The sequence below is a fragment of the Homo sapiens genome, chromosome 2 (genome assembly GCF_000001405.40).
Source record: "Homo sapiens chromosome 2, GRCh38.p14 Primary Assembly".
Classification (NCBI taxonomy): domain Eukaryota; kingdom Metazoa; phylum Chordata; class Mammalia; order Primates; family Hominidae; genus Homo; species Homo sapiens.
The window spans coordinates 67,546,730-67,574,065 of NC_000002.12; the positions used below are offsets into that span (position 1 = coordinate 67,546,730).

Genomic DNA, 27,336 nt, shown 5'->3' on the forward strand with positions numbered 1-27,336 from the left:
GTGATTAGCATTTGGCTCCTCATTACTTATGCAAATTTCTGCAGCCAGCTTGAATTTCTCCCCAGAAAATGGGTTTTTCTTTTCTACTGCATCATCAGGCTGCAAATTTCCCAAACTTTTATGCTCGGTGACGTCTTTGCCACTTAGAAATTTCTTCTACCAGATACTCCAAATCATCTCTCTCAAGTTCAAAGTTCCACAGATCTCTAGGGCAGGGACAAAATGCTGCCAGTCTCTTTGCTAAAGCATAACAAGAGTCACCTTTGCTCCAGTTCCCAACAAGTTCCTCATTTCCATCTGAGACCAGCTTAGCCTGGACTTTATTGTCCATATCACTATCAGCATTTTGGTCAAAACCATTCAACAAGTCTCTAGGAAGTCCCAAACTTTTCCGCATCTTCCTGTCTTCTGTGCCCTCCAAACTGTTCCAACCTCTGCCTGTTACCTAGTTCCAAGGTCACTTCCACATTTTTGATATCTTTACAGCAGCACCCCACACCCAGTACCAATTTACTGTATTAGTTTGTTTTCACACTGCTAATAAAGACACACCCGACACTGGGTAATTTATAAAGGAGAGAGGTTTAATGGACTCGCAGTTCCACATGGCTGGGGAGGCCTCATAATGATGGTGGAAAGTAAAGGAGAAGCAAAGTCACATCTTACATTTCAGCTGGCAAGAGAGCATGTGCAGGGGCTCTCCCCTTTGTAAAACCATCAGATCGTGGGAAACTTATTCACTATCATGAGAACAGCATGGGAAAAACCCACCCCCATGATTCAGTTACCTCCCACCAGGTCCCTTCCATGACACTTGGTAATTATGGAAGCTACAATTCAGGATGAGATTTGGATGGGGACACAGCCAAACCATATTAGTATGTTTTCATACAAAATTTAAAAAAATTCTAAAGTATACGGATGCTGAGTTTCATAACTTCTAAACTCATATTCTTACTTTTTTTCCTTCTTCCTCTCTCTGGTTACTACAAAAGAAGATGGTCAAATGCTCGTCTTTGGAAATGTGATGAAAATACACAGAAACTAGTATCATTTCCACATTCCATCAAAAGAACAAGGGGGACTAATGGCATTTAACACAATTGTGCCAGTTATATGGCAGTGCATCTAGAAATGTCCCATCTTTAGATATGACAATCTGTGTTTCTAGTGCCCTTAACAACACTAAATCAAGAATATTTTTGCCAGTGTTGTACCTCCAGTGTGTTTTCAGAAGAACAGCTAATCTGTATGTGTTTCATTCATTTATAAATCACTGAATGTTGATTTAACATAGTTGATGGATCCCTAAGAAAAGCTTCATTAGAAAATGAAGCTTTCTGGTTGGTAGGTGAGGTGGCTGGTTAAAGGAATCAGACAACAATTTAGATGTCTGCCATCAACAGAACATTAAATTTCGAATCAGAGTTAGAAAAGTCCAGCTTCTTGTGGCTCAAAGTGGTATTCAATTTTGAGGTTTGAGGTTTGCTTTGCTCCTGCTGACAAAGAAGAGAAAATCAGAAAAAATAAACACAAAAGAGCATCAACAGTGTCTACCTTGGTTCTCTACTAGGGAAAGTGGACATGGCTTGTCTTAGGAGTCAAAGGGAAGTCTGTTTCATTGTCCCTGGATGTTGGATTATACTGGGCAGGAAGGGTGTAGCAGAAGCTACAGGAAGGTAGAGGGAGATCTGGTGAACAGCTGCCTAGTTAGGATGTTGCTTTTTGGACCCCCAGCGGGTACTTTGGGCTTAGATAAGCAGAAGAGGTGTCAGGTAGCAATCAAGTCAGTGTGTGCCTCCTGCATTGTCTAAGTGCCTGAGGCAGCTCAGGAAGCTAAGAGGTGCTGCCAGAAATGGTACCTTTTTCCTTGTCAACACAATAACAAACATGAATGCAGCTGAGTAACTGGTTGCAAACGGGAGATCCTGCTCTGCTGGAATCTGAGATGGGGCACAAAACAACCCCCTACTCTGCCTTTTCCTCACCACAGGAGGGCCATAACTGTCTGTTTGTTGAATGCCAGCAAACTAGCACCTCTCAGGTAGAGCAAACTACAGTTATCTGTGCTTTTAAACACCAAAGAAAAACACTAAAGACGCCAGCAAGCACAAAGCAGAAGAGCCCCTGAATGCCCCTAGGCTGCCTGTGATTGTCATTTTGAAGGATTGTTATTACTATGTTTTGACGCCAGTGGACATATTGAACTTCTTTCCTTAGTGCCATTGATGTCAGCAGGATCAAAGGTGTGTGTGCGTGTCTGTATGCCTGCACAGGCATCACAGGAGGTGAGACAGATGAAACAGGAAGAGGGGAGAAAAAATGGGCAACTGAAGAAGGAATGAAAGATGAGGGTGGATGGGAACCCTGATTGGAGGTTATGTGGCTCATGGAAGATGAATCATTCTATAATACAGTTCAAAGAGGGCAACAGCACATATATCTCCTGCAAAGGCATTCTGCCCCACTGAGCCACATTCTCTGAGCTTATTGAAGTGACTACAAATCCCATTCATTGTGGGCAAGACTGATCCCAGGTATGGAAAATGTAGGCATTGGGTGCAAGGGTGGCTGTGCCTTCAAGCTAGTTTTGAGAGTAGTAATTACAGCAGATGAATCTTTACTCACTATGGTACAGATTTGTCCCTGGATGTTGAGTTAAACTTGGCAGGAAGGAAGTAGAAGGAGATTTAGTATTTCTTTGTTATCTATTTTGTGCCACGTACGGTGATAAGTTCTGAGGATGTAAAGATAAGTAAGAGATTATAGGCCAGTTCTAAGGAAATGTAGCACTATCCCCTTCAGAATACAATAGAATGTGTTTTATATTTTATTTTATTTTATTTTATTTTATTTTATTTATTTTTGAGATGGAGTCTCGTTCTGTTGCCAAGGCTGGAGTGCAGTGGCGTGATCTTGGCTCACTGCAACCTCCGCCTGCTGGGTTCAAGACATTCTCCTGCCTCAGCCCCCTGAGTAGCTGGGATTACAGGTGCCCACCACCACTCCTGGCTAGCTTTTTTGTATTTTTAGTAGAGATGGTGTTTTGCCATGTTGGCCAGACTGGTCTCAAACTCCTGACCTCAGGTGATCCACCCGCCTTGGCCTCCCAAAGTGCTGGGATTACAGGCATGAGCCACCGTGCCCGGCCAGACGTGTTCTATAAAAGGTGGGAGAACAGATGGCTAAGAGAAGGAACATAAATGAACAATACTCAACCTGAGGAAAGGGATACTTTCTGGGGGAGACAGCATAAAAAATCTTTCCAAAGGAAACTTGAAGAAGATAGGAAAGCACACTTAACCAGGTTGACAAAGACAGGGGAGTTTTAAGAAGAAGGAATATGCTTTTTCTTCCAGCTAACACATATATACAGTCTGTACCAAAGCTCACCTGAGCACTTTACAAGTATTAACCTATTTAACTTTACAAGAACAATATTACAGAAGGAATAACATCCATGTTCTTATTTTGTACATAAGGAAAGTGGGGCAGGAACAGAGTAAGTAATTTGGTCAGGGTCAAACTGCTAATAAGGGAGAGAACCAGAATTTTAACCCACATAGACTGCATTTAGGGTCCATGCTCTTAACTAAGAATACATACTGCCTTTTTTTGCTAGAAAAAAGGGTATAAAGTTGCAGAGTTTTCAAGTATCTTTGGTTCAGTCCAACCAGTGCATTTATGGTGAGTAAGGATTGTACCAACTACAGATGTTACAAAGATGAATAGGCATAGCTCCTGCTCCCAAAGTGCTTAAATGTAATAGAAAGAGACCCTTAAACAGCTAATTTCAATATAATGTGGGATCATGTTTAGATATAATAGCTGATTTTCTCTTCATTCTCTGTAATTTCCTTTTTACTCCATGGCCCTCTTCCTCCTTAAATTAGTTATTAGGATTGTTAAAGCAGAAAAGCAGAAGAGACGCTTTTTGAAGACCAAATCCAGAGTCAGCAGGACCTAGGGCCTAGAAGGTATGACATAAACAATAGGTTTGGAATAATTCAGGATGATGCCAAGTCCAGCTCAGTCCTCCTCCTCCTCCTGCCCCCACAACCACCCCTCTCAATGATACAGGAGGAGAAGAAGGAGATTAAGAGAAAAAGGAAAAGAATTGGAGGCTGGTTTAAGTTCCTGTGACAGACACTTTGGAAAGATCCAATGGCAAAGGAACTGCACCTTATTTCCTGGACAATTGGCATTTAGGAGAGAATTCTGAGCAGGAGAAATGAATTTGGCATCATCATCATGTAGCTGGTATTTTAAAGCATGAGGTTGAATGAAATCACCAAGGAAAAGACCGGGGAGGTGGTAGACTTCTTGTAAACTTTGCACCCAGGTTAGGATGGATTCAGTAGAGAAGGATGTAAAGGTATCTATGCAGAGTGGCTGCCATATTCTTGCAGATTTTGTCTGCACCCACTGTGTTCCAGTGAGAAGCCAAATGCTTCCCATATTCCCCATTACAAGCTCCATGAGGGCAGGGATACTAACTGTTTTGTTCATTATTCTATTCTCAGAGCCTAGAGCTGAAAATATAGTAGACGCCCATAATTTGTTAGGGTGAGCAAATGAATATGCTTCTCAAGGAGAAGGCATATTCTCAAGGAGAAGCAACAAGGAGAAGGTTGCAGTTTATTAATTCACTTAATAAAGATAATAGTTAGTGATTTCTGTTAGTAGGCACTGTTGTAATTGCTTAGATTATATCCATGAGCAAGTAGAAAAAGATTCCTGCCCTCGTGGAGCTTATAAAAAGGGAGACAGACAATAAAAACTGAACCAGGATTATGAGTTTACTGTATAATACGTTTCCCCGCAGGATCAGGCTGAAATCAGGAGGACTTTGTCTGAAACTGTACCCTTGCCTGATGTCTTCTCCTTACTCTCCTGCTCTCCAATGCCCCTCAGTTTCTCCTGGAGTACTTCCTTAATAAATTGCTTCCACACAAATCCTCATCTCAGCATCTGTTTGTGGGGAACTTCACCTAAGACAAAAGTTATGCTAGATAAGCTTAGTTGCAGAAAAAAATTAAAATGCACAGTTCTTGCATCCCTGAGTTTGTAGCTTGAGCCTGGTACCTGCTGTGAATATAATGCAGTATATGCTGCAATCAAAATGTGTACAAAGAAATGGCACATGGTATAGTGGGGGAATCAGAAAGAGCTTCCTGGAGGATGACTTAACTGGGTGAAGAGTGGTGAAAAGTCATGCCAAGAAGAAGGAATAGTAAAGCCCAAAGTGCAGCGACAAGAAGGTGTCACGTGTGGGGCCTGCACCTGGCTCAGTAGGTCTGCTGCAGAGAAAGCAGTACACGGCAGCAGAAAAGCATACTTCCCTTAAGGTGAATATAGGGAAGGGGTTGCGGGATAGTGAGCAGCAGAAAATTATGTAAAGTGGGCAAAGGATCCTATTGCGAGAGTCTTCCAGGTTAGGAATTTGAATTTCTCCTAAAGGTATTCAGGGCCATAGAAGAGTTTTGTTTGGTTTTGTTTTTAATTCAGTTGTGTAGTCACATGGCATAAAATTTGAAAGTACTAAAGGTTTACAGTTTAAAAGAGAGTCTTTATCTATTCTTTCACTTAGCCGTGGGAACCACTAATACAAATTTCTTGAGTCTCCTTTGGAAAATATGCTTTATAATATATATATGCTTTATATATTATATATTATATTATATGTATTATATGCTTTATATATTTAATATATAATTAATACATATTGCTTATATATATAAAGCACCGTAATTATTTATTTATTATTTATTTATTAAATATGCACTTTGGGAGGCCAAGGCAGGCAGATCACAAGGTCAAGTGATTGAGACCATGCTGGCCAAAATGGTGAAACCCTGTCTCTACTAAAAATACAAAAATTAGCTGGGCGTGGTGGCACACACCTGTAGTCCCAACTCCTTGGGAGGCTGAGGCAGGAGAATCGCTTGAACCAGGGAGGCGGAGGTTGTGGTGAGCCGAGATCGCGTCACTGCACTCCAGCCTGGGCACGGAGCCAGACTCCGTCTCAAAAAAAAAAAAAAAAAAAAAGCAATATGTGTATATAACTCTCTGCTTTGTTCACTTGACACTCTAGTATGATGACCTTTGCATATCATTGTAAAGTTTTAGTAGAGGAGTGATATGGTCAGTTTAGCATCTCATAAACACTATTACAGCTGTAGCATGCAGAACAGAGGGAGAGGGGAACAAGGCAAGACATGAGCAGTGTTTGACATAACATAGGAGCAATATAACTGAGAGAAAATGAAGATTTTAAAATTAGCCATTTTAATCAAATAACAACCATCCATTACTGATGTAGTGCATCTCTTCTAAATAACTCAGAGCATCTTCATCCACAATCCCTCTAGTCTCAAACTACATTGTGACCACCTGAGAAAAGACACTTGAGCTTACAGTTTGCACATGGGAGAAACAAGGTACCTAAAGAGGTAACTTTAGGCTACTTTGATTCTGGGTCTAATATTCTCTCCCCTGGTTATTTTAACTCTACACTTTTGATGGTCCAAACCATCCGCACAGTAAATAAGCAAGCTTCACAGTGGATTAGGAGAGCCAGTTACTGTACCAGCAAAATAATGATCTAAGAACTCCTAGAAAGTGGAGAAGAAATTTTTTGTTCTGATGCTTACCAAGCCTTTAGAGACCCTCAGGTAACACAAAGTATTATTAAGTTAGAAACAATTCAAGTAAGTATTTTCTGAAGCAAAAGAGAAACTAGACACAGGGCAGACTCTCCCGCTGAAGGTTTCCTGAACAATTACCTTGATTCTGCTTAATGTCATCTAAACCCAGTGCTCAGGGCACATGCAATAATCATGATAGATTCCCTTGTTCGGAGGTAGACATGGAAAGCCTTAGTAGGCAGACTTCTCAGATGGTCTCCACTGATACCCATCTCCTGGCATTTGTGCCCTGGTGGAATTTCTTTCCCCTGAGGGTAGGCTAGACCTAGTGACTTGCTTCTAATAAACACAATAAGGCAAAAGTGATAGGCTGTCACTTCTGTGATTAGGTTACAAAAGATTGTGGCTTCCATCTTGCTAGCAAATTCTCCTTATTGTCTTTATATTAGCCTGTTCAGGCTGCTGTAACAGAATACCATAGACTGGGTGGTTTACAAACAACAGAAATTTAGCTCTCACAACTCTGGAGGCTGGAAATCCAAGATCAAGGTTCTCTCAGATTCAGTGTCTGGTGAGGGCTAGACATATTCAGGTTCATAGACAGCCATCTTCTTGCTGTGTCCTAACATGGCAGAAGAAAGAAACACCTCACTGGGGTCCTTTTAATAAGGGCATTAATCCCATTCATGAGGGCTCCTCCCTCCCTCATTACCTAATCACCTGCCAAAGGCCTTACCTCCTAATACTATCACATTGGGGATTGGGTTTTCAACACATGCATTTGGGGAAAACAAACATTCATTCTATAGCAGTCTTCAGAGTTTGCCCATTTGGATGAAGGAAGCTGCCATGTTAGAGCGGTCACACAGCAAATAATGGAGGGTGGCCTGCAGTCAATAGCTGGCAAGGAACTGAAGCCCTCAGTACAATGCCCGTAGAGGAACTGAGTCCTACCATCAACCATGAGAGTGGCTTTGGGTACACATCCTTTCCCAATCCTGGCTTCAGATGAGAATGCAACCCCTAGACTAAAGCCTTGATTGCAAGCTTGTAAAAAACTATAATGCAAAAGACCCAGCTAAGCTGTGCCTGGATTCCTGAACCACAGAAACTATGAGATCATAAATGTGTATCATTTTAAGCTGCTAAATTTTGGCATAATCTGTTTCACAGTAATAGCTAATTAATACAAAAGCAAGGTCAGGGTGAACACAAAAATTAAATAATTATGACTTACATACATAGAACTATGCTATGCTGTTACACATAGCATGCACCCTTCTTATGAACTCAACAGTATAACTTAACTAGAGTGCTTACTTGACTGAGACTTAGATATTGGTCACTCTGCAATTCACAGTCCTCTCTTCACCACTACGGCTTCTTTTGATGATCCATTGCATGTTTTTCAGGACTTACCTCTTGATTCAAGATCTTTTCAGGAGGATACTGGGGAAACTGTATTACCCCGGTGGCATGAATAGGAAAGAAAAGATGCTAGACTGCATGCTTAAAGCACATGACACAGAGGCAGAGCTGTCAGCAACTCCAGCATCACGGGATTTAACATTAGGGCTTAAATAAGAACCTTAAGCAGCCCTACAAAAGCCCTAAATAGCAGCAGGAATATTGAAGTTGGGGAATATGTGTAGTTAATCCTGACAGATAATGTCTTAAAGGGATCCTAATTTACTTGGGAGATGCGATGAGAGACTATGAGGCTCAGAAATCTTCTCTTTATTTTATTCTAGATGTTTTCAACCTGTTTTCACTTGAAGTTGATAAGTCTATATCTAATGAGCATTGACCTCTGGAATTTGAGAAGATGACAGAGAATGAAAAATTAAAGTTTCTTCTCTTTCTGATGCTCTATTGGTGAAGAGAGGGTACATATGAAAAAGATCTACAAATACTGTCCTAATTTCACAGAAGGTGGTAAACATATAGTGCTCACTATTTATATGCAACCAGTTAGACTCTCCATTCATAAACTCAGTTGTAAAAGAAATCTTCATTTAAAACATTTTTACATAAAACTAAATGCATCTGTGGCCTCTTTTTTGCCTGGCTATTAGAAAATTTAGTAACAGCTATTATTGCAGCCTTCTTTTTCAAGGATTGCTGCAGAATTTCACCCAAAAGATGAGCAAAAGACCTCTTACCCTGACCGCAGCATAGCTGTTGCTGATTCCTTACTGCCCAGGCCTGTGGTGGCAGTAAGGACTAAGGGGTGTGGGTTTAAGGCAGATATAGAAATCTCAGGGAACCTCAACTAGTAAGCAGAAGACAGAAGTCAAGACCTTCTTTGGCTATCACTTACAGTGTTCCTTGAAAAAACTTCCTCACCATTTTAAAGGCCCTGTTTCTCTTTCTGTAAAATTGAGGGTAAATACATTTGTATTCCAACTGCCTCACGAATAGTCAATTAGGTGGTTTTCTCTCACTTCCATACTTAGCAAATCAAAAAAGTATGAAAAGTATACTTTTCAGAACAAGTTCTAATGTCTTCCTCCTGGGAGGGAGGCTGGTCAGGAGTTTCTGTGCACCGGTGTTCCACGAGGCAACTAGGCCACGGCCATTGGAGATTCATCCAAGCTCACACCCAGGAGGTCCCCGGTTAACATGAAGAGCTCATGATACTTAATCCAGTGTTCTTTCTACTGCACTGTGCTGCCAGAACAGTGGTCACCAATTGCGCCACTCCCAAATCAATGTTAAACCGTGCATAAAACAACAGCACTGATTATGGGCTATGCTGTTATTTCAGGGGGACCATATCTAGTTGGAGAAGGGCTATATATGTCGGGTAAGGAATTGAGACTAACGAGACAGCAGAGAGCAGAGGTAGGCTTTTGTGTTTGGTTGATAGCGATGGATTCTACTGTACCTTTGTTTTTAATATTGGATCTTTCTCTGCAAATGCATGGATACAGCACAGAAACATCTATTACCTGTTTCTGAAACATCATCAAAAGCCCCATGGGCAGCAGAGTATAATGCAATGTGCCAACATGACAAGTGTGAAGTGTGTCAAGTCAGGGAACACCATAAATCCCCTATTCAATTCTCAAAGAATGTGATATACAAATGTCCATTCATCTTGCTCTCTCACACTTTCACCATTTTCCAAGGAGGCATCTGATAGGCTAGTGAGGATTCCCTCTGTGCTGAGCTCCTGAGGGCAAGACTCATTAACCATTTGGCTGTCTCTAAAATTATTACATCCAAGCACTCAGGGAAAATAGGAACCTGAGGTAGCATACCACAACTTGCTACTATCATTTGTCAAAAACTGGCACCAGGTAGAAATGACACAGGATAACAAGTCCAGAAGCATCTAGAACAAACAAGAAGGATTCATCATTGAAGACAGGCAGAAAACACCCCCCAACCATCCATCCTCATATCAATTATGCTAGTACAGACTCACATTCCCAAGGCCTAAACAAGTACGGTTCATATTCCCAAGGCCTAAAAAAAACAGTTGGACCTTAAAAAATTAGATTAAATTTTAAATAGAAACCAGACCTAAGAAAAAAATAAGTGCATTGTATTCTGCCTCTTTGTTTGTTCCTCATTAAGTACAGGTTTTCAAGAAAAAAATAAGTTAATGAGGGGAAACCTCAGTATTTGACTACAGAAAAATATATGCACCCTTCTCCCTGCATTGACAACATCAGGAGAGGTGTCAGGGATGTTCAAGACAGGGGAAGGGGTCAGCCCATCAAGAATTGGAAAGATGATCAAGAGGAAGAAGTGCTGTAAGCCTAGAGAATGGAAAAAAAATTGAAAAAAACAGCTAAAGTTTATAAGTACTCCCCAGGTGCCAGGACTTACTAAATTTTTAAAATGTATTATCTCAGTCTAATTTCACCAAAACTCTATATGGATAGTACTATTATTATTCCATTCATAGATGAAGGAAACCGAGGCACAGGAAAGTTAAGTGACTTGAAGGTTAAATATCTGAATTCAAGCAGCCTGCCCTAGAGGCCACAGTGTGAACAATAAAGCCAGTGGTTCTCTGTCTTATTCTTCCATCAGAAGCTCTGGAGGGCTTGTTAAAATCCAGCCCTAGAGTTTTTAATTCAATAAGTAAGACGGGAGTTTGCCTTTCTAACAGGTTCTCATATGATGCCGATGTTGCGGGTCCAGGGACCACACTTTAAGAAACATTGCATTTAGCTATATTGTCCTTTTAAAAGGGAAGCAGTCTAGTCAAAGGGAGTAACATTAGCAAATGCATAGATTAAAAACAAAACAAGTCAGGTAATAATAAAGAAGTGTATCTAACTTTAGCAATCATGTTGGTGACTCCAGTTTAAAAAAAAAAAAAAACCTATGTCGTAACAAAGACTTGGAAATCCTGACGTGAATATTGCAGTATATAGACAGCCATGCCATCCTTTTTATACATAAAGGATGTATAAAACTTTGGGAACCTACAAAGGAGGTAAGAACAAACAAACTCTTACAGGTAAGGCAAGGCAGATGGCTGCATCTTTAAAATCTATTGGCATACATTAATCATGAGTACGCTTAAGTCAAAAGGAAAGATGAAAAGAACACTTTGATGCTGGTGTGGCATAAAATCACACATTATATCTATATCCCAGACAGCTTTCTAAAGAAAAACAAACAAACAACAAAAAGCACCCTCCCAAAACACTAAGCAATATGGATCACTTTCTCCAACTCCATGTCAAAATTCGATCATTTTGTTTAAGTTTAGGAGTCTAGTGGAATCCATTGTCTTTGGAATGTGTTACAAGAGTCAACTGAGACCTTCAAAGAAAACTTTCACTTTTGGATTACAAGAGACACATTTCAACAGAGATGTTTCTCTCAAAAATAACAAAAAAATTATGCTAGTAAAATATTTTTTTAAATGCAAAGTGCTTTCTGTAGTAACCGAAAGTCCCCCAATCCTGGATACTACTTTTATTTCACTGATAATTTTGACATAGAAAAGCATGTACGGAATAAAATCATCCACCTAAGCCTTCTTTGGACATCTTTTACATCAAAGCCAAGAGGACACAAGGTGCCTTGGGCATTGTGACTCTCACGATGAGGCTTACAGCCTATTGAAAGACTTTACGTTTTAATTTATGTGTGTGAATACATTGCTACAATTCTCTCCCAAAATGTCTTAGTTTTAGCCAATCATGAATGTGCAAGAAACCCAGAAGATGGTATAAAACATTTATTTACCTTTCCCATTGAACCCCCTATTAGATCCTGTAAAGCCTACTCAGTGTGGTGGACTCTTTTCTCTTAGTTGAGAAGGGATGAAAGATGTAAATGAAGGGAGAAGAAAAATTTTATACAAAGTCAAATACAGTAAGTACTATGCATACTGCTCAGACAATCATAAGTACATAGGAACTTAGAGGACAGAGATATTACTGGAAATCTCATTAAGCTTTCTTGAGATGCTCTGGATTTCAGATTTGAAAGAAGGATAAGAGAGAACAATAGAGAGGGAACGTTCCAGGAAGGAGGGTGCTTCTGAACAAATGCTGAGCGATAAGACTTTCATTCTAGGATATGCCATTATGAAGAAGGTAGTAAGTGCATTAACATGATTGAGACAGCAAAGACCCAAGTAGGGCAAACACCTGGGACAAAGATAGAAAAGCATTCTTAGGCTTATCAGGGAGGGATGGGGGTGTCACACCAAGAGTAACTGTTAGAGGCAACGGGAAGCCACTGAAGAATTTGAAAGGAGTGACATGAAAAAAGTAATGATTTAAACAGACAAAATGGCAGCATTTCATAGCATATGTCCAAGAGTAAACCATCGGCTAGGAAACCACTACAACAGTCCAGACATGAAGCAACAAAGACCCAAACTAAAGTCAGGCCACTGGTAATGTAAAGGAAGGGATGACTGTTAGGTTCAGAAATAAGGAGAAATCCTTGTCCTGGCTATGACTGTGGTTGAGGAAGGAATAGCCAAGTAGTGATGTCAAGCTTCTCAGTCTCAGTGTCTGGCCAGAAACAGTAACTGAGGCCTACACGGGTTAAAGAACTTGACCAGGCTCATGTTTCATCAATGACAAGGTTGCATTTAGATATATGGGATCTCAGTTTAGTCTTCCTTCCAGTACTTCATGCCACCTCATGCATATTCGTACAAAGCTTTTGAGTCTTGACATTTCATCACACCACAATAACTCTAAAATCATGCAGCACATGTAGCAAATAACTCTAAAATCATGTGGCACAAAAAAAGCAATTTTTTCTATCTCCCAAGTTTTCATTGAAATGAGCACATTTTATTTATTTATTTATTTATTTATTTTATTTTTATTTTTTTTGAGACAGAGTCTCACTCTTTTGCCCAGGCTGGAGTGCAGTGGCACAATCTTGGCTCACTGCAAGCTCCGCCTCCTGGGTTCACACCATTCTCCTGCCTCAGCCTCCCGAGTAGCTGTGACTACAGGCGCCCGCCACCACGCCTGGCTAATTTTTTGTATTTTTAGTAGAGATGGGGTTTCACCATGTTAGCCAGGATGGTCTCGATCTGACCTCGTGATCTGCCTGCCTCAGCCTCCCAAAGTGCTGGAATTACCGGTGTGAGCCACCGTGCCTGGCCAAGCACATTTTATAAGAAATTTTTCCAAATTCTAGTATGATTATTTATAATGTCATAATTATAGATTTTTTTTCTAAGTAGAAATTCTGTATGGTAACCCATTCCCTAGAGAGAGTAACCTCTCCCAACTCCTCATCCTTCATTGATTCAAAGGTTCTTGAGAGCAGGGTTCCTCAACCTTCACACTATTGACATTTTGGCCTGGATGACTGTTTGTTCTATGTAGGGGGCAGGTATTTCAGAATGTTTACCAGCATCTCTGGCTCCACTCACTAGATGCCGGTAGCAATCATCCACTCCTAGTTGTTACAACCCCAATGTCTCCAGACATTGTCAAATGTCCCTTGGGGGACAAAATCACTTCCATTTGAGAATCTCTGCCTTAAAGGTATTTTACAAAACTTACATCAATGAAACTATCATTTCAATTCAACAACTCTCCTAAGTTCTGTCTTTGGATGGTGGTTCTCTTATATGTGTGGGTGGGGGCGTTGGAGGAGAGTTGGGAAGATAAGACTCAATCACCAGTTGCCAAGTTTCACTTTAAACTTCCCCTTCGTGGGGTATCACTGCATCTGGAGCCAAATCGAAGGGGACTTGCTTAACTGGAGCCCAAAAGTCTTCTGTGGTCTTTAAGAAACACATGGCAACAAAGTGCTTTCCATGAACTCACTTTTCACTTAGAATCAACTAAATTCTTTTTTAGCTATTTAGAAGAGATCTTGTACCTCAGAACAAAAAAAATTACAACCATCTTCAGCAAATGTTAATATCTGAGTTATAAGCCCTCCAAAGGAGGGGACAAAGCTGGGTTCCCTCTCCAGAATGACCCTGGACTATGAGCCAAGACCAAGGCTATGGCCCTTTAATCTGAGAAGGACATGCCTCTTACCGTACTCTGATCATCTGCCTCAAATGGGCAGGCCTGCAAGGCAACAAAGTAACTGATGAGACCATCAACTATACTTTCTACAGCTTTATCTTTCAGATTCATCAGGAATTGAGTAAGAAAAAGGGACCTGTTATGTTTAATCATAAACTGACAAGACATTTGTATTTATGTGGCAAGAAGTTACATCTGCCAACCAGGCTCCTGTCTTAAGTAAAAGCTTCATGTCAGCTCTTCTGTTTACTCAATCGTCAGCTGCTTTCTGGTCTCACTTGCTTTACTATATATTTATATTGAAAGAATACATTCTCAGCAGCTTTTAGGCTCTTAAATGCATTTCAAGAGAAGACCAAGTCCAATCACTGTTACTTAATTAACACAATTGTGAAGACTTCAATCTAGCTACACAATAGCTTTCCTGACCTTGCAGAAGGAGGCAGGACTTCATTATTGAGTATATTGTTTCCTATAAACATATAAAACCCCTACAATAACAATCCCATCAGCCGAAATGAAGTTATCTGAGAACAGAATTAAACTCTAAATGACCTTTTGCTCTACTCCGTAGCCCCCTATTAATAATTTCTAATCTAATCAGTGTGGATAAATGCACTAAGGCTGGTCATGCCAGGCACTGGGCCAGCCCGGCCAATTGCCGTCCATCTGATTCATTCCAGTCCAGAGCTTGTCTGGAAAAGACGCATCCCTCGCTGAGAGGCCACTGCCTGATTTCTTCTTTTGTTATCTTTTAGCAGCAAAGTCATGTCCTTGTAACTGATAGACACGTTTCTTTGTAAATAACCCTGGAGTGACTGATAGAGCTTTTGCCAGACAAAGGCGCAAATAGCAAGGCATTACTCATGCCAAGCCGGAGAACACTGTGTCACGGCTGACAAATTTATGGGAGATATGAGCTCACCTCTTGCACAAATATATACTTTCCTGGCAAATTCATCACATGCTTTAATGGCCCCATACTGCATTTGTCAGCTGTCTGTCCCTGTGCCTTGTTGCCTTTGGTTTCCTGTCAAGGATTGTTTGTTGAAATCATCTTACAGCCCCATTCTTCAGCAGTGAGACCCAAGAAAGATCAATGATGACACCTGTATTGATAATATTTTACATTCAACTATTTGGCTGATAAATCATTTTAACAATGCTGATATGTTTATTGAGTGTCTGCCGGCATCACAATGATATGGAAAGCGATGCCAACTTAAATCTTTGCTTTGTTGGTCTGGTTTTTATTTCTTTCTTTTCATTTTCCCATAATTAAATGTGCCATAGTACAGGTTTTACTTCCCCATGTCAATCGCGAGCAAGTGAAAACAGGAGAAGGGGTGACCTTGCGCTTCCACTCATTGGTTTGTTTTGTAAAAAGGTAAGAATGGAAGCCTGGTAGTTATTGTTGGCCAAAAAGGTAGTTATTAGAAGGGAGAACAAGGGTTTTTAGGGTTCTGGTAATGTTCTGTTTTGTGACCTGGGTATTGGGTTCAAAGATATGGTCATTTGTGAAAATTCTTTAAGCTCTATGTTATAATATGTGCATTTTTTTCTGCACATACATTATAGTTTAATAAAAAGTTAAACAAAGATCAGCAAATGAATTACACATACACATGCACACACACATTATAAATACACAGTCTCAGAGTCAGTGTTTTCTACCTTGAGACTTTATATTACCTACAATCCCTTAAGCTTCTCCCTGGAAATATCACCTGTCCAACATGGAAATTACATCCAATAAGCATTTATAAGTGATCCTCTTAGCATCATCTCCACAGAATTTCAAAGAAAATCTTAGGGTTCTCAAATTCCTTAGCCTTTACCTCCTCTTTAGGACACTTTTAACATGGACTCCTGGGTCTCTATGAAAAAATGGAAAGAGACTGAGGCATCAATAAAAAGAAATAAAATTCTCCCTTGGTTTCTTACTCAAATTAACTTTGACTCAAGTCACACGCTCAGTCTATGTCTATGGAAACATTCAGATACATGTAAACATTCAGATGAAAAGTGAAAAATCCAACCAGCTGAATTGACTTACCTGTTGTTGGGAACACCTGTATGTATTGGCCTTATAGGAAGCCCTCAACAGACATTCACTTTCTTGTCTTTGGGCAGAACTGTATCATATGGCACCTCCAGTTGCAAGGACATCTGGAAGACAGAATATTTAGCTTTTTCAGACTCTGTATTAGAGACAGGTAATGAGATCCCCTTTGGGAATGAGCGATGAACTGGCCAAATTACAGTTCTAACTAGATAAGCGAAAGCCACAGCAGGCCAGGTGAAATGGAGGTACGGGAAAGTCCAGGGAAGAGTTGTTTAAATCAGTGGTTTCAACCTGGGATGTTCATTGTAATCACCTGGGTATCACCCTCAGCAATCCTAATTTAATTGGCCTTGGGTGTGGTCCAGCATCAGGATCTTTAAAAGCTCCTGTAAGTGATTCTAAGGCACAGCCAAGGTTGAGAGCTACTGGCTTAAAGAGATAAATATCAAGACTTGTATCCTCAAAGAAAATAGCAAAGGTATTAGGTATCTCACCAGCTATTATGTTTTGTGGATTTAAAGTCAAAGATTAAACAAAGGTTTTTAAGAGCTTATATCTGGAAAAGGAGTAAAAGTCTAGAAAAAAATTATTCCCTGATTTTGCAAACACTTGAGTGACAAACAGGCATTAGAACATGAGCAAGTTATTTTTAAAATAATATGTTGATTAATTAAGGTTCACTCAATCTAATAGTTGGAAATATTCATAGAAAAAGTGGGCAGTCTTATCTGTGTAATTAACTGGAAATACATCTCAGCTCCACCCCTTCCAACAGTGGGGGTCTAGTGTAAAATATTGACCTCTCGTAGAGTCTCAGTTTTCCCACTTATAAAATGCGAGAAATGATTGAACCTACCTCAAAAGCCTTTCTGTAAGGAATGATTGAGATAACCTGGATGAAAGGGTTAAATGTCTGGCATGTAGTAACAGCTCAATATCATCGTTCTTGGTCTCCCATTCAGCAAGCTCATTTACAAGCATTCATGTCACCTACAAAGAATTAGCAAGAATTGGGTCTGAAAAACACCAAGGTGACAATTTAATTACTGTTATATGAGGCTTGATGAACTATTATTCAACTATCCAGGGCAAAGTATTGTAAAAGAGATATAAAATGCTGCTGGAGGGACTTATGTTAGATATGATTTAAAAAAATAGTTAACTATGAAGGCAATAAAACATGATAAAACGTTAGTTGAAAAAGCAATGGTTTCTCCTCAGAAAGTCTGCTTTAATAGGAGATATTTTCATATTTCTAGAATAGTCTAAGCCATAGTGTGGTAAATAAATTAACTTTCAACATCCTTTTTGGTCTTTATGACTCAATAATTGTGACTCAACGATATAAACTTAGGAAGATGAAATTCAGATTTCAGTTGAGAAGCAATGCTGTTTCACCTCCCTGAGAGAATTGCCTTGTTTGTGAAATACTACAGAAAAACCTGTATTTTCTCCAGAAAATGAAAGGTCTTGGCCTGAGTAAATCAAGGCAGAAAACTCACCCCCGTGAAAGCTGCAGCTCTGAGAGTGTGTGGGCAGGGTGAGTGTCACAGGTTCAGGTTGTCTGGACTGCCCTTGGGACCCCAGCTCCTCCTTTCCATCATGTTGCGGTCCAGAGTTCAGTTCATACCATCCCAGATGATTTGGGGGTTTGCTTCCTCACTTCAGGCACTCTTTAAATAAGAGGCCTTGTCAGTGGCTCTTCCATCTGGCAGAAAGTGGGTGCTCAATAAATATTTGTTGAATGAGCCTGATCATTCTGATGAAAAGAGACCCCTTTGTTCTTTTGGGCCATTGGGTTTACCATTTACTAAACGGCCTGTGGCTTCCTGGTCTGACAAATTTATAGCACCTGTTTATGTCTTTCTCACCCACAGGCTTCAACAGAATACCTGTGGCTGCACTTACAAAAGGCAGCCAGAAGGACCCGTCCATTCTGGAAAGTACCTTTAGTCTGAAAGGTACAAATCAGAACTTTCACCACATTCCATCTGGCACTCACTGGTGGTGCCAACACCTCAAAAACCCTGCCGGGGCCATTTGTCACCATGTGGACACAGACAGACCACCAGTGAAAGTGGAATTTTTGAATGAGCTTGAATGACCTGCCTATATGTGTAGACAGCCATGGTCACTTTTTCTCCGTAGGATTAGATGTGCTGATTCTAATGTGGTTCACATTAGGCTATTTTCTTTTAAAAGTGAAATTTCTTTTGGAAGCCTGGACATTTCTAAGACGACTTCACATCTATTCACTCATCTTGCCTTCCAAAACAGCTGCTCACAATCTGAATATTAGACTACAAATAGCAAAAACAAACCTCTGTTGTTATTATTACTATATTATTAGGGTTTTTTTAGAATCCCAAGGAATTCTTTATATAATGTAGAGTAAGCTATTAGAAGGAAATCATTATTTTCAATGTGGTTCATCCCATGGAGGTATGGATGGAGAATCCCTGCTCTTTCCTGGAAATGGATGCTGGTTCTTTAGAACAGTGAGTCTTCTTCAAACTGCATAAAATAATCATTATGACATAATCAGCAGCAGTGTGTTACACTCTTGTCATTTTTCCCTAGTGCATTTCCAGGTCTCTATCAGCAGAATTGGAATTACTTCATCATTTTCAGCATTTCTTTTTCCTTTCCAGCATTTATTGCAGAAAAAATATGAGGCTTGCTGGTAGTATTCCCAGGTGACAAATGTGCACCCAACACCCTACAGAAAAGAAGAACCATAAAATAATTAATTATTCCATTGTAACTCCTGCCTGGAAAACATCTGGTATGTAACATCACATTATGCTTCATGTGGAGTGTTGTGAATCATCTTCCTTATGCACAGATCTTGTCTCCTCACTTAGATAACAAGCTCCCTGAGGGAGGGGAGACCACCATTTATTGAGAGCAAACCTTAGCCCATTACGTATTTTATTCTCTGTATTACCAACATCCCAGTGAGGTCTTTACAGATGAAGGAAGTGTGGGAGGTTTGAGTCATTCTTCCAAATGCACACAGCAACTGGGTAACATTTGGCCCCACCCTCAGCTTGGGCTCGTCAGTGGAAGTTTGCTCAGCAACAGAGACCAGCATCAATAATCGTGCTCAAGAGATTAGTATTATGAGCCCGGTATTACCGGCATGTTTGTGACATGAGTACTCCTGAGACTTCTGGAGTCAACTTTAAGAACAGCCTCGACTTTAAATATCAATGTTGGCTCAAGACCTGATTCAACATATTTTGAAAAACTCAGTGTTCTCCCCTCCGATCCCAGCATTAATTGACTAATTTAAACTAAAAATATATTGGGTGCCTTTTGTGTGCCAGGCATTATACTATTTGTTTAGGAGAGAGTGCGAAACAAGACAGAGAAAGTCTCTACCCACATGGAGTTTTCATTCCAGTGGAGCAGTGTGTTATCTATTATGGCATAACAAAGCACCCCCAAACTTAGTGACTTAAAATGAGAAACATTTACTGCCCTACAGTTTCTGTGGGTCAGGAATCTGGGTGTGGCTCAGCTGGGGGCCTTTGACTCAGGGTCATAATGCTACAAGGTGTGAGCTGGAGCTGTGGTCATCTCCAAGCCAGCTGGGAGGAGACCTTTTTCCAAAGTCACTCACACAGCCTCAGGTGTTTACAGGCCTCAGGTCCTTGCTGGCTGTTGGCCAGAGGCCTCAGTTCCTTGCCACAAGGGCCTCCCCATAGGTTACTCACAACATAACAGTTTGCAGCCCCCAGAACAAGGACCCCAGAGACAGAGTGAGAGAGGGCAAGAGAAGGCAAGATGCAAGTCACACTCTTTTTGTAACCTAATCCCATCACATTTCCTGAATTCTGCTCATTAGAAAGAAGTCACTAGATTCAGCCCACATTCAAGATGAGAAATACCAGAAGGCAGAGAACACTGAGGCTGTTTTAGAGGCTGTCAACCCCAGGGAGACAGACAGCAAATAAGTAAGCAAATAAATAAAAATGGAAGGTGATAATAAGTGCAATGAAAAGAAATGAAGCAGAGTAAAGAATCAAGAGTAGCAGTTGAGGGGTGAGTATTTTAATTAGGATGGTCAAGGGAGGTCTCGTTGCAAAGGTGACATGTAAGTTAGGATCTGAATGATATCTGGGATCCAGCTATGCCAGCATCTGGGCAAAGAGCTTATCAGGCAGAGGAGCCACAAAGTGTAGAAACTTGAGATGGGGAGGAGGTTGGTGTCTAGGAGAAATGGCAAGGAGCCCAGTGTGGGTAGATCAGTGGGAGGGAAGGAGAAAGTTGGAAGAGAGGAGGTCGGAGGGGCAAACATGAGCTAGGCTGCACAGGGCTTGGTCGACCATGGCAGAGAATTTAGAATTTATTCTGAAAGGAATGAGAAGCCATCGTGATCAGATTTACATTTTTAAAGCTCACCTCAGTTGCTGCTGTAGAGAAAGGGTGGTAGAAGGGCAGGAGAGGGAAGAGCAAGATCAGCTGAGAGATGACCACAGAGGCCCTTGTGAGATGGGAGGTGACTCACATGAGAGTAGAGGCGTCTGAGGGGCTCATTTGTCTCTAATAGTCTGCCTTCTACCCAGTGTCTCATCTTCTGTAACCATCTCACCACATAGGTTGACCCCAGTGTGGGCTGTCACCTCATCCCCTTTTAATTCCTCTGCCAAATGATCACCAACACAAGGAAGTGTACATAATGAACTCTACTCAAGTTCATGGTACCCCAAGGGGCTCCTGTTCTCAGAGCAACGCAGCAAACAATTTAAAATGTAATATCAAACACTGCCATTATAAAACAACTTGGCCCATGCCCCCGCTATCCCTGATGCCCACCATGTTACTAAGCCAACCTCTCTCCTTTGATCTTGTAGCTCCACACTTCCAATTTTTCTGGGTCCCTCATCCCCTCTTGCTCTCAGGCTGCTCACACACAAAAAAGTTTCCGCATCTTTTCACGTAAGAACAATTCGATGTCCCCTTTATTTTGCCTCCTGCCTCTAGATCTTGACTTGAGGTTTCACTTTTCACAATCAAAATACCCTATCAATGTGTTTTGCCAAACAATATCAACAGCAAATACATTTTCCTAAGCAGGATGCTTGGATGTTTTCACACCACTCTGACACATGGATGGAAGGTTAGAAGACAACAAAGGAATGGGCTGGGAAGGACTCCAAAAGCAGAATCAGAGATTATATCATTCCTTGGAAATGGAGAAAAGGATCAAAAAAGCTGAATAAAAGGTAGTCCCAGCAACAATGTCTCCTTGTGAACAGACTTTTGAGTATTTGGCTTTGTTATCCCCCAGAGAATACAAATGTCTCTATGGACACCAAGGTCATAATAACTCCACTTCTCCCATCCCCCTCACACCCTTTGGCAGCCTCATATATTCTCATTATAGTAAACTCAATTCACCAGAAAATTTCAAGAAAATTAAGTGCTTCCCTCTTCGACTGTTTACGTTCATTTTGACTTACTATATGAAGAGTCTAGGTACCCATAGAGTGTTCAGATTCTGCCAATGATGTCATACTTCAGAAGTATGGAAATGACTGAGGAAGAATTAATTTCTGATTCATGTAGCAATAAATTGAGGCTTATTGACTTGAACAGTACTTTTGCCAAGAAATTTTTGCTGCCAGAGTTTATTTACAGAATGTCATGATTTTCCAAAACATTATTGCTTCCTTTTTCAGACCATGCCTTCTGACTAGAGCAGGTAATTTGGGGAGGATTTACACATAATTATAGCCCGAATCCCTTAATTTATAAAATTGCATAGTACTTGGCTCATTAATGGCTGTTGAAAATGCTGGTCTAGTAAAATCATAAGGAGAGCTTTTACCTGGTGAATTTAGTTGTTGAAACAAAGTTGGACCCATTCCCAAACATAATCTGGAAACAGTCAGTCTATTGGGAAGGCACTGCCCTGAATGGATGGGCAATCTGGTGTTATGGACTGACCATCCTTACCCACTGGACTTGGCATCATCACCAACCTCTTTACTCAACTCCTTTTGGGCAATTAAGAGTTCCATGAGGATACTGACAAGATTCCAAAAAGCAATAAAATTACATAATGTAGTCCTGGTGTAGATAGAGGATTCCTGGTAATGACTCTGGGGCTTTTCTCATGAGCACATAATAAAGTTGTGAGCTGGACATAAAATACTCAAGACACAAGGAAGAGCTTCCCCACAGTTGCAGGTGTCTGTAGCTATCTATCTACTTTGTCTTGTTCTCCCACCCACCTCAGGCCCTGAATTGAGACCTGGTGAAAGAGGTAGTCTGAATTGTATAGAAGAACGCAGAAGTAAAACGGCTAACTTACCTGATTTCTATTCCTAAAGTTTGAGGGAAGGCAGAGTCAGATTTCAGGGGATAAAAGAGACTGTTGTGGCCCAGACTGGACTTTAGTTTCCTTTGTGATAATTGTGCTTTCGTGTGTGTGTGTGTGTGTTGGGGAATGGGGGGTATATGTATGCTTGTATGCATGAAAAGTTTACAAATGTTTCCAATGACAATATGGTCCCCAAACTAGGTTGATCATCAGAGTCACTTGAGGAGCTTTTAGAAAATACAGGCACCTGAACCAAACCATCCTGTGTCACAGGAATCTGTGCTTGTGAAACAAGCGTCCATTTAGGTGACTCTGATTGTTAGCTAGACTTAGAACCACCATTCAAAGACCCATTCCTCACCTCACCCTCACCATTTCTGTGCCAGCTCTCTTCCACTGATTTAGTTTCTCAAAATTTTCATTATCTTGTTTCCTTTATGTTTTAAACTGCATTTAGTCCATGCAAACTGTTTCTTTCTTTGGTTTACAAAGGTTCATCTTGCCATGTGGAGATATTTTTCCAATCCCGAAACATTTGCAATAATGGGGGATTCAATTCTATATTGTATCTCCAAATCTCTTAATGTCCTAAAATGGCCTCACCAGTCAGTAGACTCATCAATCTATGCATAACCAGATCTATGGATGTTTTTTAGGTCCTGGGGAAACCTCAACTGCAGACTGGTCAAGTGCTGCCCAATGATCTAATGACATGTTCACAAATTTGTATCCATACCAATTCTAGGCAAACATGGAGGAACAGAGTTTGGAGCAATACCCTGACTTACATTCAGTACTGTTAATGGCTCCAGCATCTTGAAACAAACCAATTTTGGATTTTCAGGTAAAGTTTGGCAAATAATTTTTCCTTACTTAAAGAAGAGAAAGGGCTTAAAATGGATTACATACAACTTTAAAGTACATGTTCTTACAAAACAATAGCTTCTTGAGCTAATTCTAGATAAATTAGTTATAAATGAATCAGAAACATATGGTTGCAACTTTTCTCTAAATAAAAGGAGACTAAAAATTCAGGAAAGGATCTAGAGACAAACATGAAGTAGATTTTCCAAAGGCCTAGACAATTGTTTAAAACACTTTCCAACAACTCAAATTTGTCAGGTTTAATCAATCCTTTTTTTTTTAGTCTAGTTGTCTGAATTTAAAGATATCTAAAAAGAATTGGTGTTAAATGAAAGATTTTAACACATTTCAAACGGAATTAGTTTTCAAACTACAATGTAATTGTGGCAAACTCACTAAGGATAGGAGGTAAAGTAGATGGGAACACACTCAAAAGACCAGAGCTGGGCATCCGCAACTTTTAAGTAATTTTTAATAAAAAGAGAGAGAAAATACTTGAAATTGAATGATAGTTGAACAAATCAATTATTGCTAAAGGATTTTTCCTTAAGTCCTGATGGTTTTACAATGCAGAAAAGAATGCATTGGGCTTTTGACAACTTCTTCTATTCCCAGTGAAAAAGAAAGCCAACCCAGAAAATCACTTAGGAAGATCCAGACAACAGATGGTACGCCAAAAGTGAACAATGATCTCAGTAACTGAGGCCTCAGAGACAAGATGATCCATTCCACAGCTGGATATTGTAAAACTTGGGTACCAGTGGTGCGCAGATCTGACCATTAAAACTATGTACTTCTTGAGTCACAAACCAGTGTGTGTGACTGGTTAAAACCCAGTCACAACCTGGAAAAAGTTGTGGAAAGCACCTGGGGACTGAGGAGAAGCAAACTTCCTTAGGTTTACACAGTATGGCTGGCACCTTAAGCAAGTTAAAATCGGTCTCAATTCCCTGCAGAATAAGGGCAACACCAATTATGCTACCTACTTCATGCAAGAACCTAAAATGAAAAATAAAATTGCTTTTAAAATGTGCTCCAGCCAAATAAGCTGGTATTTTATGAAAAGGAATGATCGCATTTTTGAGCTTGTATGTTAACCCATCGTGCCAGATCAACAATAGCTACACATTCTTTGATCTTCTTCCCATTGAAAATAGGTGTTTATGGCCTCTCCTCTTCAAAGTGGGCAGGTTCTGTGACTGCTTGACTCATAGAATATGGTGGAAGTGATGCTGATAATTTCTAGGGTCAGGGCTTTAAGGACAGCTTTCACTTTCTGTCACTTGAAAAACTCTTGGAACCCAGCCTCCATGTAGTCAGGAAGCTCAAGCAGCCCCATTGTAAGTCCTGTGTCAGGAGAAACTGAGGCCTCCAGCCAATAGCCTTGATTGAGCTCCCATGTTATAACTAGCACTCACTTACTAAGCATGTAAGTGGACCATCTTGGAAAAGAATCCTCCAGCCTCCAATTGAGAATGTCTCAGCTAATGCCACTAAGCCTTGCCCAAATTGCAGATATATGAGCAAAATAAATGGTTGTTATTATTTTAAGACATTAAATTTTCATGTGATTGGTTACGCAAAAGTAGATAACCAGAACACTCACTATCTTGTATAATAATGACAATATATTATGTAATAATATTGTATATGTAACAACTTTATGTAGTTATTATAATAATTATTATTAACAGGAATAATAATTTGCAGTTATTTAACATTAGGTTCCAGGCACTACATTATGGGCTTCACTTGCATACTTCTACTACTTTCTAATTATATGTTTGTTTGTTTATCTATTCATTGTGGTCTTAGTAGACTGCTAGCACCATGAGGGAAAGGAATGTGTTTTATTCACCACAGTACACTAAGTGCCAAGCACAATGACTAACATATAAATAGACATTATATGACTAGCATATAAATAACATAAAAACTATTCTATCAGATAATTTTTTCTATACTAAAACTTTATCAGATTGCTTTTTCATAACAAAGGAATCAATACAAACCTTGAAAAGGTCAGGACAAAAAAAGAAGCTAGAGACTGAGAGAAAGAGTAAGAGCTCAACAACTCAGCTGAACACAGTGGCATTTATAAGAAGTCTTTGGAAAGTAGTTATTCAGGCTATGCCTAAACTATGTGGTTGAATCATTTGGTTAATCATTAATCATTTGCTACTTATTGTTTAGTGACTAACCAAAATGGTCTAACCTCTTATGCACATGGACATAATGAAAAAGAGAAGGAAACATCAGGGAAAGTTGGATGGCTTTCACCTAATGTGGAAAATAAAAACAAAAACAAAGGCTCTGTGGCAGTGTTGCCAGGGGCTTATTCCTCTGGGCACCAAATCCTGCTGCACTTGCCATAGATCATACCAGTCAAGTGATACTGTTTGGCCTTCACCCTCATCCAGGTGCTGAAGTGACAGCCTAGAGAAGGATATGATTTGTACTAGACATAAGGGTGAGATGGAATTTGTCAGATGGGAGCCTGGCATTTATTACCACAATTGAATGGTCAATCAATTATCAATTGTTAATACTGAAATCATCAATTTCAGATAATTAAGAACAACTGGAGGAAGCAGAATCCTCTCAAAGGTATGGCCACCAACTACAGTGATTTAAATATCCTGGAAGGGACCTCAGCTTCATATTTGTGACATTGAGCAGAATACAGACAAATTGTCAGGCAGTTGGGTGGGATGAAAAAGATGGGACGACAGCCAACACTATCAAAAGGACCTGAGTTCATGAATATCTGGGCTAGCTCAGTGAAGCTAAGGAGGAAGTGGATATGAAAGTCAATATTTTAAACTATGCAAGATGAATAATAAACTGGGGATAAACAATAGAGCAAACAGAACTGAACCTTCAAATGGCAAACTTTCAGGCTGTCCTGGAAGAGGTCACATTACATGGAACTTCATGTGCTTTTAGGCTTTGGGAAGTCAGTGGCCTAGGATGACAAAGGAAGAGAAACACAAAGGCCATTTGCAGAGGAAAGTGTATTTCATCCTGAAGCTGCCATCCTCAGATCGATTCACTGACTAACCTGGTCAAAGAACTCATGGCTACATGTCCATCTGGCAGATGTAATAGTGGGCAGGGCCAGTGACATGCAGGGACCCCACCCAATCCACACCCTTCCAAAGGACTCTACAGGGCCAGCACTCAGAGCCCTGCTGCTCTGAATGTTTTGCCAAAAGAAACATTCAGATGCCAACACTGACAGTGAACATGAGTGAGCAAAGCAAAACACGCAAGGGCAGCCTGTAGCAAGACTAAAGAAAAACCACCATTCTGTCCACCAGGCAGGTCAAGGCCATAAATGCTCTACTGGAGACTGGGTTACACCAGAAAGAATACAGAAACTAGTTAAGGTTGGAGGTATATTTTCCTAGGTGACCTCCAGATAAAGGTTAAGGAGGAAGCTAACGAGAGGAGGCTGTATGTAAAATGTACGTCAATTTCCATTGTTTTGAATAAACCCACATCGTACAGCTGGTAGATGATAAATCTCTGGTTTACATTGGTCTATTATTTAATTAGGCCAACCCTTCATGACTGATGGTATTTTGTCATTTTAACGATTCTTTATTTTTCTCACATCTAATTGGGAAATCACTGTTTATCATGGTTATGGTTTCTTTATTGTACCATCTTCTAGCCGCTGTCCAAGATGACGTGAACTCCAGGCTATTGACTTTCCTCTACCTTCAATGGAAATTGTCATGGAGAATTAAGTTTTTGACAAATCTACAGCCTATGTGCAGGGCTTCTTCCTGGGTGTAACAATAAGGAATTTGGAAACTGTCTCTAGTTTTGGCCTGGAGTCACACTGCAGCTTGAGACCCTGTCATTTCCATCAAGCTTGAAAATATACATCTTAATAAACTGCAATACTTCTTAAACCTTGATGGTATCTGTGAACATGAT

General features: G+C 40.2%; 3 long non-coding RNA genes across 10 annotated transcripts in view, besides 1 other annotated feature; 2 read left to right on the forward strand and 1 right to left on the reverse strand.

Moving 5' to 3' along the window:
• Positions 1-2,480: 2,480 nt before the first annotated feature.
• Positions 2,481-4,905, forward strand: LOC124906017 (uncharacterized). The gene is made up of 3 exons (XR_007086624.1): positions 2,481-2,537; positions 3,894-3,977; positions 4,826-4,905. It is a non-coding gene; the product is annotated as an uncharacterized LOC124906017 (long non-coding RNA).
• Positions 4,906-6,082: 1,177 nt separating this feature from the next.
• LOC105374786 (uncharacterized) overlaps positions 6,083-27,336 on the reverse strand; it is a 98,219-nt gene continuing 76,965 nt past the window's right edge. Inside the window, exons 1-4 of one of the 5 annotated variants that reach the window (XR_940218.4) lie at positions 17,699-18,959; positions 17,053-17,186; positions 16,188-16,300; positions 6,083-7,269 (exon numbers count right to left, since the gene is read on the reverse strand). This is a non-coding gene — a long non-coding RNA (uncharacterized LOC105374786). Of the gene's footprint in view, positions 16,301-17,052; positions 17,187-17,698; positions 18,960-27,336 lie in introns of those variants that run through there. The other 4 variants (XR_940216.4, XR_940217.4, XR_001739524.2 and 1 more) reach the window with 4 other exon arrangements.
• LINC02831 (long intergenic non-protein coding RNA 2831) lies at positions 17,571-27,311 on the forward strand. Of its 4 annotated transcripts, none has more exons than NR_183412.1 (7): positions 17,571-17,736; positions 18,074-18,157; positions 18,848-18,981; positions 20,047-20,243; positions 21,279-21,427; positions 23,273-23,371; positions 27,068-27,311. It is a non-coding gene; the product is annotated as a long intergenic non-protein coding RNA 2831 (long non-coding RNA). The 4 variants fall into 4 exon arrangements; NR_183413.1 differs by having other exon boundaries at positions 20,047-20,155; NR_183414.1 differs by lacking the exon at positions 27,068-27,311 and adding an exon at positions 24,007-24,424.
• Positions 18,923-20,122: an enhancer, noted in NCBI's record as "BRD4-independent group 4 enhancer chr2:67792784-67793983 (GRCh37/hg19 assembly coordinates)". NCBI's record gives its function as "activates an origin of replication core promoter dependent on BRD2, P300/CBP, MED14 and CDK7 cofactors, and independent of BRD4, by STARR-seq in HCT116 cells {active_cell/tissue: HCT116}" and the evidence as "EXISTENCE:reporter gene assay evidence [ECO:0000049][PMID:35650434]".